The sequence below is a fragment of the Homo sapiens genome, chromosome 11 (assembly GCF_000001405.40).
Source record: "Homo sapiens chromosome 11, GRCh38.p14 Primary Assembly".
NCBI classification, from domain to species: domain Eukaryota; kingdom Metazoa; phylum Chordata; class Mammalia; order Primates; family Hominidae; genus Homo; species Homo sapiens.
The window spans coordinates 76,995,435-77,014,557 of record NC_000011.10 but is presented as its reverse complement, the minus strand read 5'-3'; the positions used below and the strand labels follow the sequence as shown (position 1 = coordinate 77,014,557).

Here is a 19,123-nt window from a genome sequence, read left to right as displayed (position 1 = left end):
GTAGGTTGAGTCATATGCTCCATGTAAGGCAATGTAGTTACACATACACACACACACATTCATTCATTAAATCACTTAATACATATGGAGTACTTACTGTGTACCAGGCATTGTTGTAAGCATTTGGGAAGGTAGTGGTCAATAGGTAAAGTTTTTGTTCTCAAAGAATTTACAGTATAGTTGGGGGAGGTAAACAATTAAATACATAATTATAATTGCTTTGAAGAAAAATAAGGCCTGATAAGGAGTGATACGGAGGTATTGTGGATGGGTGCGCATGCACACACATACCACACACAAAATGTTAAAAAAATCCCTGTGAGGCAGGTATTATTATTTTTACTTCACTGATGAGAAAATTGAAGCTTGGTGAGGTACTGAAAATAGTATCAGCTTACCTATGTTTTATAGCTTCAATGAGGTATAACTGACTTACATTTAAACTATTAAATATATTTAAATTGTCTATCTGATCAGTACATCTGTACATACCCATGAAACCACCACCACAATCAAGATATCCACCACCTCCAAAAGCTCAATTTGCATTTTTTAGAATGCTATATAAATGGAATCATACCATATATACCCCTGATTGTATAGCTTCTTTCATTTGACATAATTCTTTGAGATTCATCTATGTTACTATGTTATCAATACTTCATTTCCCTTTATTGTTGAGTAGGTACTCCATTGTATGGTCACAGCACAATTTGTTTCTCTGTCCAAATGCGGGTTTCCAGTTTTTGACTGTTACAAATAAAGCAGCTATGAACATTCACAAATAACACTTTATATAGACATATGTTTTAATTTTTCTTGGGTAAATAGCTAGGAGAAGAATGGCTGTATTGTATGGCAGGTGAATATTTAATTTTTCAAGATACTGCTACACTGTTTTCCTAAGTGACTGTACCATTTTACATTCCCACCAGGCATGTATAAGTGTTCCAGATGTTCCACATCTTCATCAGCACTTGGTTTGAAGTCAGTCTTTTTCATTTTAGCTGTTTTAGTAGGTATGTAGTGGTATCTCATTGTGGTTTTAATTTGCATTTCCCTAATGACTAATGTTTTTGAGCATCTTTCACGTAGTTATTTACTACCCATACATCTTCTTTGATACATTATTGTTTGCCTTCTTATTATTCAGTTTTAAGAATTCTTTCTATATTTTACATGTAGGTACTTTGTTGGATATATATTTTGCAAGTAGTTTCTCCAAGTCTGTGGCTTGCCTTTTATTTTCTGAATACTATATTTTGAAGAACAAAGTTTGAAATTTTGATGAAGTTCAGTTTGTCAATTTTTTTCTATAGTTTGTGCTTTTTATTAATAAATCTTTGCCGAACCAAAAATATCTCCTATATTTTCTTTTAGAAGTTCTATAATCTTAGTTTTTACATTTTGAGATATAATTTACATTTGGAAATAGAACTCACTTCTATTAAATTTTTATATTGGTGTGAGGTTGAAATTCATTTTTTTTGGTCCTAAGAATATTCATTTGTTCCAGCACAATTTGTTGAAAAGATTATCTTTCTCCACTGAATTACCTTGACATATTTGTTGAAAATCAGGTCAGTATGGGTGTGTGGGTCTATTTTTGGATGTTCTATTGATTTATATTTCATTATTACCACCAATACAACATTGTCTTAGTAGCAGCATAGAGTAAGTCAAGTCATGCAAGCCCTCTAACTTTGTTCCTTTTCAAAAACTGTTTTGGCTATTCGCAGTCTTTTGCATGCCCATGTTAATGTCAGAATCAGTTTCTCCATTTTTACTAAAAAGCCTGCAGAACCTACAAATCAGGATTGGAGAACTGGCATCTTAACAATATTGAAGTTTATAATCCATTAAATGGTGTATCTGTCTATTTGTCTAGCTCTTCAATTTCTCTCAACAAAAAAACTGTACAGTGTAGTTTTCAATGTACAGGTCTTGCATATTTTGTTAAATTTAATCCTTAAACATTTAAGGTATTTTAATGTTATTGTAAATTATACTTTACAAAATCTTACTAATAGTTCACTGCTAGAACAGAGAAATATGATTTTGAATATGGACTAGAATCTTGTGACTCTGCTAAATTTCACTTATTGCTTCTAACAGCTTTTTTTTTTTTTTTTTTTTTTTTTGAGATGGAGTCTTGCTCTATTGCCAGGCTGGAGTACAGTGGCTCAATCTTGGTTCACTGCAACCTCTGCCTCCCAGGTTCAAGTGATTCTCCTGCCTCAGCCTCCCAAGTAGCTGGGACTACAGGCGTGCGCCACCATGCCTAGCTAATTTTTGTATTTTTAGTAGAGATGGGGTTTCACTGTGTTGGCCAGGATGGTCTCGATCTCTTGACCTCGTGATCCACCCACCTCGGCCTGCCAAAGTGCTGGGATTTCATGCATGAGCCACCGCGCCTGGCTCTCTAACGGCTTTTTTTGTACATGTCCTGTGATATTTTCTATACATGATCATGTCATTTGCAAGTAAAATGTTGGGTAGGATTTCCACCAGTATAATGTTGAATAGAAGTAATTATATATTCTAGTTTTATTCTTGATTTTTAAAGGGATTAAAAAAAATACATGTCATGACTAGGTGTTTTATATGCTATAGAATTGATAGGTTAAGAAAGTTCCCTTCTATTACTAGTTTGTAAAGGGTTTTGTTTTGTTTTAGAACATAAATAGGTGTTGAATTTTACAGAATGCTTTAGTCTAAATCTTGATATCATGTAATTTTTCTCCTTTTAATATTTAATTTTAATTTTCTAAAGACTGGTCTGCCTCTGTTCTTTATTTTTTAAATATGGTGAATGGCAATAATAAATTTTTCAATTTTTTTTTTTACTTAACTGTAAGTATTGGCATATAAGTGAACGTAAAAGGTGATTCGTTTAAAAATGATCAGGAAAGCACAAACCTGGCAATGTATGGAAAAGGCATTATTACCACTGTTTGATGAGGGTTCTCAAGAGAAGATGAGCTTAAAAGAGTCACAGTCTGGCTTCAGCTTTTCAGAGTTTATCATAGCCCCCATTTGAGGAAGGCAAGAATGAGTCCCAAGAAACATAGGCCTCAACACAGTGAAGGCTTCTGGCAGTGTGGGCCAGGTACTGAAATATGACAGGAATATGATCAGTGGGGGTAGGGTGCTATCTGTTTTCTGCTTCTAAACTTACTTACCATGGCCAATCTTCAGCTCTCAGGGGCAGTTCAAAGCAATACTCTTCTGTGGGGTAAAATGAATGTCTTTGGTTATCCAGGTAGCAGGGCGGGAAGGGGAGAGCAAGAACATCAGCACATGGTCCATGCAAGGCTAAGGGGACTTACTACTCATATAGTATCAGGTGCAAGAGTGTAGAATACAGAAGGCACTCAACATATGTCTCTCTGTATCTCTCTCTATCACACTGCTTTATTCTGGACTGCCTGCCTGTCTAGCATACAGCTGTCATCTGAGAAATCCCTTTCCATCACCTGCACCTTAGGAACTGCCTTCACCTCTCTCTTTCATTGGATCTCCTGTCTTGTATCCCACGCACTCGTCCTTTTTGTAGTACTCTCATTTTGGCGAAGCACGTCTTTCAGTAGGTTCTTGAGCAATATTTAATGGGATGTAAGTTTTTTTGAGATCTTGGAATGTATGAAAACATATTTTTCTCTGTATTTTACTGATAGTTTGGCTGCCTGTAGAATTCTAGCTTAGAAATAATTTTCCTTTAGAAATTTGAAGGCATTGGTCTTCTAGTTTCAATGTTGCTTTGGCAAGCCCAAAGCCATTCTGATTCCTGATCCTTTGTATATATTCCTGCCTCTCAACTTATATACTTCTGGAATCCTTCCTTGTTCTAGAACTCTGAAACTGGCATAGGTCTAGAACAAGGATGGAGCACATCTCCATCCATTGTGCTGGGTATCCAGTGGGCTTTTTCAGTCTAATAACTCATGCCCATCAATTATATAATGTTTTCTTGAATTATTTTGGTAATTGCCTCTCTTCCATTTTCTCTATTCTCTGCCTCTGTCTCCTTTTTGATGTTGGTTCCCTTCTATTCTGGCTCAACATTATCTATTCAGTAATATTTCTATTGAGTCTATTCTATCTGCCATGTCTTTTTTTTTTTTTTGTCCTATACTCAGAGTGGCTTCTTTAACTGTATCTTTTAAACACTTCAATTCAGCTTTTCATTTTATAATTTTTAAAAAAATTAGACAGAAAGTCTTGCTTTGTTGCCCAGGCTAGAGTGCAGTGGTGCGATCATAGCTCACTGTAACCTCAAGCTCCAGGGCTCAAGTAATCCTCCCACCTCAGCCTCTCGAGTAGTTAGGACTACAAGAGCATGCCACCATGCCAAACTAGTTATTATTATTATTATTATTATTATTATTATTATTTCTGGTAGAGACAGGGTCTCACAAGAATACATTTCTTTACAAATTCTTAGGGGAGTCATTTTTCCTACCTAAAACTGAGGCTGAAAGACAAGTTGCCTTGTCAGTTCTTTCTATTGGAGGGCAAATTTTTTCTAGCCCAGCTCTTCACTGACAATATACCTCTTTAATGGTCCTGGCTTTATTTGTATATGTGTGTGTATGGTGATGAGGAAATAGTTCCAATTGCCAGTCTGAAACATACCAAGAACTTTGCCTTCTGTTTTGTGGCTTCAAACCTAAGGCTCTGGTTTCATGGTATCTTCAAATGCCTTGAAGTTTACCACAATCTCTCTCTCTCTCTCTTTCTTTTTATTGAGACAGGGTCTCACTCTGTTGCCCAGGCTGGAGTGCAGTGGTGTGATAATGACTCACTGCAGCCTTGGCTCCCTGGGCTCAATCAATCCTCCTGCCTCAGCCTGCTGAGTAGCTGGGACTAAAGGTATGTGCCACCACACCTACCTAATTTATTAATTTTTTTTGTAGAAGTGGGTTCTTACTTCTTTGCCAGGTTGGTCTTGAATGCCTGGGCTCAAGCAGTCCTCCCACTGTAGTCTCCCAAAGTATTAGGATTACTTGTGTGAGCCACTGTGCCTGGCCAGTTGACCATGATCTAAGTACTCATTTGTCACTGTAGTTTGCAGCTCCTTCTTTGGATTTGATGCTCCCTCCAGATCTCATGTTGAGATGTAATCCCCAGTGTTCTAAGTGGGGCCTGGTGGGAGGTGTTTGAGTCATGGGGGCACTCTCATGGCTTGGTTCTGTCCTTGCGGTAGTGAGTGAGTTCTCAAGAGATATGGTTGGTTAAAGTGTACGGCACCTCCCCTACTCTCTCTTGCTTCTGCTTTTGCCATGTGGCGTGTCTGCTCCCCTTTGCCTTCCGCCATGATTGTAAGCTTCCTGAGGCCTCCCCAGAAGCCAAGCAGATGCCACACCATGCTTTCTGTAAAGCCTAAAAAACTGTCAGCCAATTAAACTTCTTTTCTTTATAAGTTACCTAGTCTCCAGTATTTCTTTATAGCAGTGCAATGATGGCTTAATACAGATACTTTGGATTGCTATTATTTGGAGACAGGGTCTTGCTCTGTTGTTCAGGCTGGAGTGCAGTGGTACAATCATGGCTCAATGCAGCCTCAGTGTCCTGGGATCAAGTGATTCTCCCATCTCAGCCTCCCAAGTAGCTAGGACTATAGGCATGCATCACCACACCTGGCTAATTTTTAAATTTCTTTTTGTATAGACTAGGTCTCCCTATTATTGCCCAGCCTGGTCTCAAACTCCTGGGCTCAAGTAATCCTCCTGCCTTGGCCTCCCTAAGTGCTGGAATTATAGGGATGAGTCACCATGCCCAGCCTGGAATTTTATGTTCTTGTGAACTCATCTGGGCATTTAAAGGATGTTTGTTATATTATATTTAGAATTTCTAGGTGTTTTGTTACAGGAGGAATTTTCAGATGTTTCATCAGACAAAAGTAACAAAAGTTTTAAGAGTTTCAATTTGATTTTAAAAACATTTATGGGTAAGCACTATCCTGGGATCCAGGGATTACCAAGATAACTAAGACTTTAAGAAGCTCACAGTCTAGTTGAGCAGACAGATAAGGAAATAATGACCAGTGCTAAATGAAATGATCAACAAATGGACATATAGGAAAGAAGTTGTGGCAAGACAGATGGAAGAAAGTTGCTTTTATTTCATAGGATTGCCACTGTTAAGTGCTTTTTAAAGGTCTGTCATTTGTGTTTCTAAAAGTATTGGTACCCTGTCTATCAGACTTGATTTAAGTCAAGGACTGTATTTTATGCTTCTTTATATTTACCTAAGGGGTCTACATTAAAAACAGAATAAACTGGGACTTGGGCTTCTGGGAAGATGAAGTGGATATACTTTTTCATATTCGTTCCACTAAGTAAAACTAAAACTGCTGGGCATTATATATAAGACAAACATAAGAAGACCCTGAAAGGTGTTGAGAAGAAGCAGACTAACTAGGGATTTTGGGACCTGAGAAATGATACAGTGGTGAGTTCCATGTCTTTTCTTTTTAAAAAATTAATATTATTTTAAATTGATAAATCATAATTATATACATTTATGGAGAACAATGTGATGTTTTGACATATGTATACAATGTGGAATGATTAAATCAAGCTAATTAACATACCCATCACTTATTTTTTTGTGGTGAGAAATTTGAAATTTGCTATCTTAGCTATTTTGAAATATATAATACATTATAGTCACCCTGCCATGCAATAGATTTCCGACTCATGCAACAAAGGCTGAATGGGGAGCCTAGACTTCCATGCTCATCAGGGTATTAGAAGGTGCTTCAACCCCATGCCAGGTTAAGAAGGCCAAGTAGTGAGGGCTTGGGACTCTCATCCCCACCCACAGTAATTAGTTCCTTATTCCCTTAGAGACCATGTGAGGAGCTTGGATATCTATCTTCCCGTGGCAATGATGAGACACTGTTTTCCCTCCCTAGTGGGATAGTGTCAGAGACCTACTGCAGAGTCAGAATTTTCACCACTGGCCAGAGATACCATGGCCACACCACTTGGGTGTCAGTGGAAACCAGATGGTAAGAAATAATAAAGCAATCCTTCCCCTCTCAGACAAAGCAGTGGCCTAGTAGGGAGAGGGAGCTCCCAACTCAGCCCAGCAGTTAATCAAGAGCCTCTTCTCCCCCTGGCTTGCCAACAGAGGCCAAAGAGGAACCTAGACTTCTACGAGTACCTGGCAGTAATGAGGTGGTGCTAAGGGACCTGTGGGACTATAACAAAAGATCTAAGTGTCTTGTTATTGGTGTCCCCCAGAAGGAGAGGAGGAAGAGAGCAGGGCTGAAAAGTACTTCATAAAATAATGGCAAAAAACTTCTAAATTTGTTAAAAAAATAAAAATAAAAACAAAAAACTCAACAATTCCCTAACTAAAAACAACAAACACACAGATTCAAGAAGCTGAGCCAACCTCAAAACATGTGATTTTTTTAAAGTTTTTTTTTTTTTTCAAGAGACAGGGTCTTGCTCTGTTGCCCAGGCTGGAGTGCAGTGGCACAATCCTAGCTCACTGCAGCCTCGAACTCCTGGGTTCAAACAATCCTCCTGCCTCAATCTCCTGAGCAGCTGGGACTACAGGTATATATCACAATGCCTGGATAATTTTTATATTTATTTTTTACAGATGGGGTATCTCTATGATACCCAGTCTGGTCTTGAACTCCTGGCCTCAAGCGATCCTCCCACCTCAACCTCCCATGTATCTGGGATTACAGGCATGAGCCCTGCTCAAACATGTTAGACCCAAAGAAATTCACATTAAGACAAACTATAGCCAAACTTCTGAAAACTAAAGACTTAGGAAAATCTTGAAGTAGTGAGAGACAAACAACATCTTACCTATGGGGGAAAACAATTCAAATGATAAAGGATTTTTCATTAAAAAAAATGTGAAGGGCAGAGGAAGTGGCATGACATTTTTCAAATTCTGAAAAAAAATAATTGTCAACCTAGAATTTTATATATAGTAAATATATCCTTTAGGAACAAAATAAATATCAAGACATTCTTAGGTGAAGGAAACCTAAGAGACTACATTTCCAGGAGACCTACCCTAAAAAATGGCTAAAGGAAGTTCTCTAAACAGAAAGGAAATGATGAAAAAAGGGATCATGGAACATCAGGAAGGAAGAAAGAGCAATGGAAATGAGTATAAATGTGGGAGGACACAACACATTTTCCTTCTCGAGTTTTCTAAGCTATGTATTATGATTAAGACAAAAATCATAACACTGTCTGATATGGTTCTAAATGCATGGAGACAAAATATTAAAGACAGCCAGGCGCGGTGGCTCACGCCTGTAATCCCAGCACTTTGGGAGGCTGAGGTGGGTGGATCACCTGAGGTCAGGAGTTTGAGACCCGCCTGGCCAACATGGTGAAATCTTGTCTCTACTAAAAATATGAAAATTAGCCAGGCATGGAGGCAGCGCCTGTAATCCCAGCTACTTGGGAGGCTGAGGCAGAAGAATTGCTTGAACCCGAGAGGCAGAGGTTGCAGTGAGCCAAGATCGCGCCACTGCACTCCAGCCTGGGCAACAAGAGTGAAACTCTGGCTCAAAAAAAAAAAAAAATATATATATATATATATATGTATATATATATAATATACATATATATTATATACCAATTATATTTTAAATGGGTCAGGATAAAGGCATTCTTATGAGTTGAATTTTTCACCTCTAAAAAAGATATGTTGAAGTCATAACTCTAGTACCTCACTCAGAATGTTACCTAATTTGGAAATAAAGTCCTTGCAGATATAATTATTTAAGATGGGTTTATATTAGAGTAGGGTGGGCCCTACTCCAATATGACTGGTGTCCTTATAAGAAGATAGCTATGTGAAGACACAGAGACATGGGGAGAATGCCATGTGACAAGGCAAAGACTGGACTGATGCAGCTATAAGTCAAGGAATACCAAAGCTTGCCACCAAACTACTAGAAGCTAGGAAGAGAGGTAAGAAAGAATTTCCCAACTGGTCTCAGAGGGAGCATGGCCCTGAGACATTTTCATCTGGGACTTCTAGCCTCTAGAACTGTGATACAATAAATTTTAGTTATTTAAAGCCACGTAGCTTGTGGACTTTGTCATGGTGGCCCTAGGAATCGAATACAGACCCATGAAAGGGAGGTAAGTTTTCTGTAGTTTACTGGAACTGGTAAAATGCTGATTAACATTAGACTCTGATAGGGTATGCATATATAAAGTAATACTGAGAGCAGCCACTAAAAAGCAATACAAAGAGAAACATAAGCACTATAGACACACTAACGGCCAGCGGATCACAAGGTCAGGAGATCGAGACCATCCTGGCTAACACGGTGAAACCCGTCTCTACTAAAAATACAAAAAATTAGCCGGGTGCGGTGGCAGGCACTGTAGTCCCAGCTACTCAGGAGGCTGAGGCAGGAGAATGGCGTGAACCCGGGAGGCGGAGTTTGCAGTGAGCTGAGATCGCGCCACTGCTCTCCAGCCTGGACGATAGAGTGAGACTCCGTCTCAAAAAAAAAAAAAAAAAAAGAAAAAGTTTAAGTAACTCACAGGCAGGAAAAAGCATATAAAAGCAAAAAACCAGAGAGAACAAATAGAAAACAAAAAATAAAATGGCAGTTAAGTTCTTATATATTAATAATTGTATTCATATAAATGATCTAAATACACCAATTAAAAGAAATTGGAAGAGTGGATTAAAAACATGACTCAAACTGATTCAACTATATAATGTCTAAAGGAAATGCATTTCAAATATAACAGTATGATCAGGTTGAAACTAAAAGGATGAAAAAAGATATGCCACACAAACATTAATCGAAACAATGCTATGCTAATATGGATATATTAATCAGATAAATTAGACTTCAGAGCAAAGAAGATTATCAGAGTCAGAGAGGAACATTACATAATGACAAAAAGGCCAATCTGCCAAGAAGATACAGCAGTTCTAAATGTCTGTGCATCAAAATAGACTTGCAAAATGTGAGGAGCAAAAACTGATAGAATGAAGGAGAAATAGTCAAGTCCAAAATCATGTTTGGAGACTTCAGTATTTTTCTGTCATCAACTGATAGAACAACTAGATAGAGAATCAACAATGATACAGAATAACTAAAAAATACCATTGAGCATTAAATAGCTAAGTCGGTGGACTTGGGGCACAAACACTGCACATTTCAAAGAAAGGACTGGCTCTTGACTGGCTCCTGGGAGATAACTTCTGAGACTTTAGAAAATCCTGCCCAATAAGAGTGTCTTTGTATACTCGACACTTTGGGCCATGCCAGATAGCTTATGCAACTAACGTGATTTATAGGAAACACCTATTTTTATTTGCCTGGGGTCTTGGGCCATGCTGTATCAGTTTGACCTTTAGGTAACAAACCTTAACTATGAGTATAACAGCTTTGCTGAGTTCTGTGAGTCCTAGTGAATCATCAGACCTGAGGGTAGTCATGGGGAACACTGACACAACCACCAACCAACAGGATCTAATTGACATATGTAGAAGATTTTATCAAACAATAGCAGAATACATATTCTTTTCAAACAAACATGGAATATATGCCAAGATATCCTTGGCATAAATATCCTTGGTATAACCTGATCCATAATACAAACCTCAACAAATTTAAGAAAAATGAAATCATGCAGAGTGTGTTCTCTGACCACAATGAAATCAAACAAGAAATCAAGAATGACAATAGGAAAATCTCCAAACTCTTGAATGTGAAACAACATACACCTAAATAATCCATGGGTCAAAGAGGAAGTCTCAAGAGAAATTTTAAAAAGTACATTGAACTGAATAAAAATGAAATACAACATATAAAAAGCTGTGGGACACTGCTAAAGCAGTGCTGAGAGGAAAATTTATAGCACTAAATGCTCATTAGGAAATAGGAAAGTCTGAAATAAAAATTTAAGCTTCCATCTCAAGAACCTTGAAAAAGAAATGAAAATAAACCCACAACAAGCAAAAGGAAGAAAATATAAAGAACAGAAATCAATGAAACTGAAAAATGAAAAATGGAGAAAATCAAACAAAAGTCTGGTTTTTAAAAAGATCAATAAAATTTGAGATACTTCTAACAAGGCTGACCAAAAAAGAAAGAGAGAAGACTAACACATTACCAATATTAGGAATGAAACAGATTATCACTGCAAGCCCTCTCAACATCAAGAGGAAAACAAGGGAATATTGTAACCAATGCTACACACATAAATTTTGATGACTTAGATGAAATGAACCAATGCCTCAAGAAACACAAACTACCACAGTTCACCCAAAATCAATCATTTGAATAGCTGCAAGTCTTCAACAAGAGTGGAAGAAAAAAGAAAAAAGTGAATAACGGCATGACTATTAAAGAAGCTGAACCTGTAATTTTATTTTTCTGCATATGTTTAATGTAAACATTTTATTATGTTAAAATATTCATAAAGTTTAACTTTTTAACCCTTTTAAAGTATATAGATCTGTAGCATTAAGTACATTCACATTGTTGTGCAAACCTTACCACTGTCTATCTCCAGAACTTTTTCTATCTTCCCAAACTGCACTTTGTACCCATAAAACGATAACTCTCCAATGCCTTCCCCAGGGAACCCCCTCATCCTACTCCCCACCAGGCCCTGATCACCATTTTATTTGTGTCTCTATGAAGTTGACTACTCTAGGAACCTCATATAAATGGACTCGTAGTATTTGTCCTCTTGTGACTGGCTTATTTCACTTAGCCTAATGTCTTATAGGTGCATCCCTGTTGTAACAGGTGTCAGATTTTCCTTTATTTTTAAAATGTGTAATTTTAAAATGCCCCAAAAAACAGATTTCCAGGCCCAGATGGTTTCACTAGAGAATTCTACCAAACATTTAAAGAAGAGTTAACACTGATTGTACACAATTTATTCCAGAAAATAGAAGGGAGCAACATTTCCCAAATCATTTAATGAAATGTATAGTATCCTGATGCCAAAACCAGAAAAAGACAGGACAAAAAATAAAAACTACAAACCAATATCCTCCATGAATACAGATACAAAAATCCTTAACAAAATATTAACAAGTGAAGAATTCAGAATATATAAAAAGAATTACATAAGTAAGGTTTATCCCAGGATACAAGGCTGGATCAATATTCCCATATCAATTAATATAATCCACCTTATTAACAGACTACAGAATAAAACAGTATGATAAAATCAGTTAATACTGAAAAAGCATTTGACAAAATCCAACACCCATTCATGATAAAGAAAATTAGTAATAGAGTGTATTATAGGTCCATTTATGATAACAAAAGTTATGATAAAAATAAAGAATAGAGGATATAGTGTGTTTCCTCTGATATTCATATGTTAAAGTCCTAACCCCCTGTACTTTAGAGTGTGACTATTTTAGAGATAGGTTCTTTAAAGAGATAATTAAGTTAAAATGGGGTCATTAGGGCAGGCCCTAATCTAATATAACTGGTGTCCTTTATCAGAAAAGGAGATTAGGACACAAACACACAGAGAAATCAGACCCAGGCATGCACAGAGAAAAGACCAAATGAACACCTTCTCTCTGTGTTCTCTGTGTGGCCAATTGCATGCCAAAGAGAGGGGTGTCAGAAGACATCAGACCTGCTGACACCCTAGTCTCAGACTTCTAGCCTCCAGAACTGTGAGAAAATAAGTTTGTTGGTTAAGCCACCCAATCTAATGATATTTTATTATATGTGGCAGCCCTATCAAACTAGTATAGAGGGCAAATTCCTCAACCTAATAAAGAACGTCTATAAAAAACTTACAGCTAACATTTAACTTAATGATGAAAGGTTAAATGCTTTTCCCCTAGAATTGGGAACAAGGCAAGGAGATCTGCTGTCACTGCTCTTACTCAACATAGTCTTGGAAGTTCTAGTCAGGTCAATAAGGCAAAAAGGAACTAAAAAGCACACACATCAGGAACGAGGATATACACTATTTCTATTTGCAGCAAATCTTAAAAACAAATCTACAGGGCCGAGCGTGTTGTCTCACACCTGTAATCCCAGCACTTTGGGAGGCCGAGACAGGCAGATCACATGGTCAGGAGTTTGAAACCAGCCTAGCCAACATAGTGAAACTCCGTCTCTACTAAAAATACAGAAAAATTAGCTGGGCATGGTGGTGGGCGCCTGTAATCCCAGCTACTGGGGAGGCTGAGGCAGGAGAATCACTTGAAGCTGGGAGGCAGAGGCTGCAGCGAGCCGAGATCATGCCATCGCACTCCAGCCCGGGAGACAGTGCGAGACTCTGTCTCAAAAAAAGCAAAAAACAAAACAAAACAAAAAAATCTACAAGAAAACTCTCCTAGAACTGACTTCAACAAGGTGGCAGAATAAAAGATAATCAATTGTGTATCTATATAATAGCAATGAACATGTGGACACTAAAATTTAAAAATACAATATCACAACTGCTTAAAAAATTGAAAACTACAAAATGCTGATGAAATAAATTAAAGATCTAAATAAATCAAGAGACATACTGTGTTCATGGACTGGAAGACTCAACATAGTAAAGATGTCAGCTCTGCAAATTGATATGCATATTTAATATAATTCCTATAATTCCTAAAATCTCAACAAGATTTTAAATTTAGACAATATTATTCTAAACTTTATATGGAAAGGCAAAGGAACCTGAATAGCTAGAGCAATTTTGAAAAAAAAGAATGAAGTGGGAGGAATCAGTCTGTATGATTTGAAGACTTATATGGCCACAGTAATCAAGACTGTGTGGTATTGGTGGAGGGGGAGACACATCAATCAATGGAACATAACTGAGATCCCTAAAACAGACCCACACAAATCTACCCAAATAATTTTTGACAAAAGTGCAAAGGCAATTCAATGGAGAAAGGATAGTCTTTTCCACTAATGGGTCTTAGAACAGTTGGACATCCACATGGAAAAAACAGAACCTCACCCTATGCCTCACACCTTATACAAAATGAACTGAAAATAAACCACAGACTTAAATGTAAAATGTAAAACTATACAGTCTTTTAGAAAAAAAATAAGAACAAATCTTTGGGATCTATAGGTAGGTATAGAGTTCTTAGACTTGACACCAAAAACACAATCCATAAAACTGATAAATTTGACCTCATTGAAATTAAAAATGTTTGCTCATTGAAAGAGAGGATGAAAAGTTATAGATTGGGAGAAAGAATTCACAAATCACATATTTAATAAAGAATTAGAATCTCACAACTCAACTGTAAAAACAATAGCAACTGTCCTTATTATCTCTTATAAAAAAAGAGAAACCAGGCAAAGACATGAGCAGAAATTTTACCAGGGAGAATACATATACATATGGCAAATAAGCACATGGAAGGTATGTTCAACGTGATTAGCCATTAGGGAAATGCAAATTATAAAAAACTTCATTAAAAATAGTGACACTACCAAATTCTGGTGAGGATGCAAAGAAACTGGATCACACATATATTGCTGGTGGGAATGTAAAAATGGTGGAGCTACTCTGAAAAGCAATTCAGCAGTTTTGAGAAAAACTAAACATAAATTACTACAAAACCTAGCAATTTCACTCTGGGCATTTATTCCGGAGAAGTGAAAACTTGTGTTCCCATAAAAACCTGCATTACAATTGTTCATAGCAGCTTTATTCATGATTGCCTCAAACTGGAAACAACCCAGATGTTACTCAACAGATGAATGGTTAAACTGTGGTACATCTATACCATGGAATACTACTCAGCAATAGAAAGGAATGAATTATTGACACACTGAACAACTTGGATAATTATGCTGAGTTCAAAAAGCCAGTCTCAAAGGTTATATATCTGATACCATTTATATAACATTCTTGAAATGACAAAAACAGAAATGCAGAACAGATTAAGTGATCACCAGAGGTTAAGGACAGGGAGTGAGGAGTGAGGTGGGGCAGGAGGGAAGTAGGTCTGGTTATAAAAGGGCAACATAGACATCCTTCTGATGATGGAAATGTTTTGTATCTTGACTGTATTCATATCAAGCCTTGGTTTTGATATTGTAATATAGTTTTGTAAGATGTTACAAATGGAGGAGATTGGTAAAGGATACTGGGATCTATTATTTTTTACAAATGTATGCATTTTTACAGTTATCTAGATACTAAAAGTTTAATAAAAAAGAAAAAAAAAACAAACCCACAAATCATACTACTTATTTATTGAACACCTGTTGTGTGGCCAGGCCCTATTTAAGGTAATCTCATGAATGTTATTTCTTATTTAATTTTCATGAATGCCTAAAGATTATACCCATTTCCCAAATAATCTTTCATGAAATACTAATTCTTTGTGACATTAACAGCCTTCCTTGGAGGTACTATGTAAAAGGAATTCCCTAGTCAAGTAGGTTTAAGAAAGACAAAAACAATTTTTTTTTAACTATAGGATTTTTAAGGTCTCTAATATCTAATGAATTTTATAAATATTCAAAACAAGGCCATCGTCGACAGCTCTCTTTAATTTTCCCATGTCTTTAATTTTGGAACCCTAGTTTTCACATGATGCCCATTAACAACTTGTCTGAAGACCCAGTATTCCTTATAATATAACAATAAATGTTGGGTTATAGTTTTCTTCCAACATCTCTACTGAAGTGAGCTTTTATGTGTTATTTTGATTTAGGCTATAGATTTACTGTTATAGGTCTGAATATACTTCAGTCATGGTGCAGATGATCCAAACTACTTACCATGTAACAATATAAATAGATCGAAGTACTAATGTAAAGACCAACATTCCATACATGACCTAAATAGGAACGGAAAATGAGGTTAGTACAATCATTATTGTTTGGCAAAGGAAGTCTATTTTGCCTACCAAAATAGCCTTCCCAATTAAATGTAAATATTTATTATCCTTCACTACATTTTAAAGAATAGAATGTTAAAAAATGTGTTAAATCACTAAATCATGCTAACTTCTGAGGAAAAGTTAAGAGTCTGCTTAACTTTATTAAATAACCAGTATCAGAAGTCCTATATCAATTTTAATTCTGAATGGATCCTTGAAATTTTAAATATCTGCTGAAACCTGAACAAATGCTGTAATTTTGCCTCATAATCTTTAGCTCCTCTCTTCTCTTTAGCTTTGCTTTCAGCAAATACAGTAATTGTGCTTCCCATTTTACAATAGTATAAACCTGAATTCTTTTAACTCTTCTAAATGCCTCTGCATTTATATGCATCCTCCCCTGGCATTCTTTCTCATCCCTAGTCTCCAAAAAAGGTGCCCACTTCTTGACTAAGGTTAATCCATTTTCCTGTGTTCTTTATTCTATATGTTCTCACATCTTCCTAGCGTTGGCTCTTCTTTCTTTTCTGTATTGAGTATTAGATGTGTATTAGTACCTGGAAAATTGAACCAGGTGGGAAAATATGAGTTAGCAAATACATATAAAGCCAATAGTTGAGAAAGCACCACCCAGGTCAAGAAGTAAATCCTTGTTAACCCCCAAGAAGTGCTGCATGTGTGTCTTCCCAGTCCAACCCTCTCCCTTCCTTCTTAGAGGAAACCACTCTCCTGACTTGTATTATAAACATTGTTTTGCTTTTCTTTATATAATTACTAACTTAAACTAGTCATCTACAAATGCATTCCTAAGTAATAATAATACTGTTTGCTTTTGAGTTATAATAGAATTTTCATTAAGTTTTATTTTGTTATTCTTATTTCTTTTGAGGCAGGGTCTTTTGTTGTCTAGGCTGGAGTGCAGTGGCATGATCATAGCTCATTGCAGGCTTGATCTCACAGGCTCAAGCCATCCTCTTGCCTCAGCCTCTCAAGTAGCTGGGACTAGAGGTGTGCGTAACCACATCCTGGCTAATTTTTTTTCTTTTTAGTATAGACAAGGTCTCACTATGTTGCCCAGGCTAGTCTGAATCTTATGTGGATGAGGGTACAAAAGAAGCTATGTATATGAATAGCTCTGGGTCTTCTGATGAGATGAAGAGGCTACATCTGCTATAACTCTCACCCTGTATCCTTCTATAAAGCTGAGTAAACATAGTATTAGATTAAAGCTTATTAGGGTCTCAGTGCCAGCTTAAATCCATAACCATAGCTATACTGCTACAAATGGTGAACAAGAAAGGCATAATCCCTATACTCACAGCAATCACAATCTAGTAAAGGGAGAGATAAATAACCAGGCAATTATAATATAGTATTATAACTCTATGGTAGGAACTGTACAGAGTACTTTATAAACACATAGGAAGGCCACCTAATCCAGACTTACACAGTAGAAAGTCTTTCTGGAGGATACGGTGTTTAAAATTTTATACCTGAAGCTCACGTAGCAGTTACCTTAAAAGAAAGTGGAAGAGAATTATTGTGATATCTTATATTCTAGAGACAAGGAGGAAAAAAAGATCCTTATAGTATATTGTTGGAATATAGAATAGGAAAAATGGAGTCAGAGACCAGAGGTCAAATCTGGCCTTTCAAGTCATGTTAAGGAGCTGGACTTCATATAACAGTAACAGAGGCCGGGTGTGGTGGCTCACGCCTGTAATCCCAGCACTTTGGGAGCCCAAGGCAGGCGGATCACTTGAGGTCAGGAGTTCGAGATTAGCCTGACCAACATGGTGAAACCCCATCTCTACTAAAAATGCAAAAATTAGCCAGGTGTGGTGGCAGATGCTTGTAATCCCAGCTACAGGGGAGGCTGAGGCACGAGAATTGCTTGAATCCAGGAGGCAGAGGTTGCAGTGAGCTAAGATTGCACCACTGCACTCTAGCCTGGGCGACAGAGCAAGACTCTGTCTCAGAAAAAAAAAAAAAAAAAAAAAAGGCTGGGTGGGGTGGCTCATGCCTGTAATCCCAGCACTTTGGGAGGCCGAGGTGGGTGGATCACCTGAGGTTAGGAGTTTGAGACCAGACTGGCCAACATGGTGAAACCCCATCTTTACTAAAAAATACAAAAAATTAGCTGAGTGTGGTGGTGGGTGCCAGTAATCCCAGCTACTTAGAGGCTGAGGCAGGAGAATTGCTTGAACCCGAGAGGCAGAGGTTGCAGTGAGCCAAGATCGTGCTATTGCACTCCAGCCTGGGCAACAAGAGCAAGACTCTGTCTCAAAAAATAATAATAATAATAATAATAATAATAATAATGGAAAGCCAATGAAGGTTTCACCAATAGATAACATGGTCAGACTCATGTATTAGAAAGATGTCCCTGTTGTGCTGAGTGGAGAAAGAGAGGGAGGTGAGACTGACAGGAAACAGACCAATGATAACGTGTTGCAGTAATCTAAGTGAGAGATAGAGACCTGAACTAGGGTAATATCAGGGGAGATGCAGAGAAGTGGCCAGATTAGAGAGAGATTTAGGGTTCAGACTAATCATCAATTTGAATGGAAGTTAGACAGGGGGAAAGACAAGGATGATGGCCTGGTTTGTGGCATGGACAGTTAGGTGCATGGCAAAATTAATTATTGGATTAGAGAATATATGAAGAGAAGAAAGACTAGGGAGAAAAGTAGTGAGTTCACTTCTGCATATACGTTCAGTTTGATGTGCCAGTGAGATATCTAAGTAGAGACCTCTAGCAGAAGTTGGATTCCTAGGTCTATAGTTTAAAAGAAAAATCACAGCTGAAGAAACAGAACTGTCAGCATATAGGAGTCAAAGGGAATGAATTTCCCAGGGAATATGTTGAGCATACGAAATGATGGATTAGGAAAGAACCTATGCCTTGGCAACATCATGGGACTTTTTCAAATTAACTTTCTTCTCTCCAGAGCAACCTACCCCATACTTTTGATGCTCCCCACTGCTAGTGGCCTACCTAGTATTCATTGTCTCCTTCCGACTATATAGAAACTGATTTTATCTGGCTGGCAGCATGTTCAGCTATATAAGTTTGATTTCTAAACTTATAGAGGTTTTTTTTTTTAATAAAAAGATGACAGAATGTATACTTTTCTGCTCCTTATAATTTTTATCTAACAATATGTATATTTTTATAGTGAAATTTTATCTTTCTATATTTAATAGTTGTTTTCAGTCTCCAAACTCCAAAGGCTATAAAAATATTATTAGTGTTTTCTCTCTACTAAAGCAACTAATAAAAGTT

The 19,123-nt window shown here is 37.1% G+C and overlaps 1 protein-coding gene and 1 long non-coding RNA gene across 10 annotated transcripts in view; one reads left to right on the top strand and one right to left on the bottom strand.

Annotated features, from left to right (window-relative positions):
• The window catches only part of ACER3 (alkaline ceramidase 3), a 165,880-nt gene that overhangs the window by 12,240 nt on the left and 134,517 nt on the right, over positions 1-19,123 (bottom strand). For 6 of the 9 annotated variants that reach the window (NM_018367.7, XM_011545151.3, NM_001300954.2 and 3 more), the window contains one exon: positions 15,737-15,795. In NM_018367.7, coding sequence (NP_060837.3) covers positions 15,737-15,795 — 59 coding nt within the window. Of the gene's footprint in view, positions 1-3,182; positions 3,229-15,736; positions 15,796-17,284; positions 17,353-19,123 lie in introns of those variants that run through there. The other 3 variants (XR_007062489.1, XM_047427235.1, XM_017017987.2) reach the window with 3 other exon arrangements.
• ACER3-AS1 (ACER antisense RNA 1) overlaps positions 1-19,123 on the top strand; it is an 80,139-nt gene that overhangs the window by 21,127 nt on the left and 39,889 nt on the right. The gene's annotated exons all lie outside the window — the stretch shown is intronic.